The 1,891-nt window shown below is 36.5% G+C and overlaps 1 annotated feature.

Moving 5' to 3' along the window:
- Nucleotides 1,154-1,323: an enhancer, noted in NCBI's record as "experimental_40373 CRE fragment used in MPRA reporter constructs". NCBI's record gives its function as "activates a minimal promoter by MPRAs in K562 erythroleukemia cells, with activity observed for the non-introgressed 15:57099116 variant allele {active_cell/tissue: K562}" and the evidence as "EXISTENCE:reporter gene assay evidence [ECO:0000049][PMID:34662402]".

Genomic DNA, 1,891 nt, shown 5'->3' on the forward strand with positions numbered 1-1,891 from the left:
CTTTTTCCTTCTTCACAATTTCACAGAGGGAGGATTCATTCTTACTGTAGATCTTAGTAATCTCGGTATGTAATTTTTTTTCTTTTTTAAGTGGAGAACTTACACTTTTTCACTTAAAGAAAGCATTTTATGGATCCTCTTTGGCATATCCACCATCATCACCACTCTTGCACTTTAGGGCCATTAGTAAGTAAAATAAGGGTTACTTGAACGCAAGCACTGTGATACCACGACAGTTGATCTCATTATCAAAAAGCTACTAAATGACTAATGGGCAGGCAGCATATTCGGCGTGAATACACCGAACAAAGGGATGAGTCATGTCCCAGGCAGCATGGAGCAGAGCAGTGTGAGATTTCATCACAAAACTCAGGATAGAATGCTATAAAAAACATAGGAATTATTTATTTCTGGTATTTTCTATTTAATATTTTCAGATCACAATTGATTGTGGGTAACTGAAACCACAGAAAGTGAAACCACAGATAAGTGGGAACTACTTTAAAATCAGAATGTTTATATCTCTTAATTAATTTTTTCTCCAACCTGAAATGCCCTCCCTTCTCATTTTTGCCAAATTCAACTTCTCTTTCATTTTCAACAACACAAAAAGCTCTCACGTCATAACCTTATTGTTCTGTTTTTTTCTATACCTGTAGACTAGTACAAGTAGTACTCACCGTGTGGTATCAGTGACTTCCAATTGACAACTCAAGGACTATACTATCTGTACTCCAAATCACCTGGAAAACATTTAAAATATATCTTCCAAATTGCTCCCCACCCTGCCTCTCCCACTTTCAAGACTTGAGTCAGTAAATTAGAACATCTAAGGAATCTGCAGTCTTTAAAAATATTTTCTGGCCTGGTGTGGTGGCACACACCTGTAATCCCAGCACTTTGGGAGGTGGAGTCAGGTGGATTGCTTGAGCTCAGGAGTTCGAGACGAGCCTGCACAACATAGCAAAACCCAGTCTCTACAAAAAATACAAAAAGTAGCTGGGCGTGGCAGCCCACACCTGTAGTCCCAGCTACTCGGGAGGCTGAGGTAGGAGGATCACTTGAGCCCTGGAGTCAGAGATTGCAGTGAGCCAAGGTCATGCCACTGAACTCCAGCCTGGCAACAGAACAAGACCTTGTCTCAAAAAGTAAGTAAATAATAAAATATTTTCTGTACACCCCTGTTGATAACAGCATTATTCTCAATCTCCAAAAGGTGGAAGCAACTCATTGATAGACAGACAAACAAAATGTGGTATACACATACAATGGAATATTTTTCAGCCTTAAAAAAGAAGCACATTTTGACATATGCTACAACGTGAATGAATCTTAAAGAATTATGTTAAGTGGAATAAGCCAGTCACAAAAAGATAAATATCATATAATTCCAATTATATGAGGTACATAGATTTGTCAAATCCATATAGACAGAAAGTAGAATGGTGATAGGGGCTAAGGGAGGAGGCCACAGGAGTTATTGTTTAAGGATATGGAGTTTCAGTTTTGGAAAATGAAAAAAGTTTTAAGGATGAAAAAAGTTTTGGAAGATGAAAAATGTTAGAGATGGATGGTAGTGATGGTTGCTCAACAATGTGAATGTACTTAATACCATTGAACTATACACTTAAAAACAGTTAAGATTGTGCATTTTATGTTATGTGTATTTTAGCACAACTGAAAAAAATAGTTAAAAGGGTAAATTTTATTTTACGTATATTTAACTACAACTAAAAAAAACATTGTACGTGGGAAATGCTGGTCTCAGTTTTTTGTGTTGGTTCTTCATTCTTAATTGTCATAATATTTTATTCATTCATTTCTTTATAAATAATGCACCATGCATAATTCTAGATGCTGGAGACATAGCCATGACTAAAGCAGACAAGGT

The sequence above is a fragment of the Homo sapiens genome, chromosome 15, assembly GCF_000001405.40.
Source record: "Homo sapiens chromosome 15, GRCh38.p14 Primary Assembly".
Taxonomy (NCBI): Eukaryota; Metazoa; Chordata; class Mammalia; order Primates; family Hominidae; genus Homo; species Homo sapiens.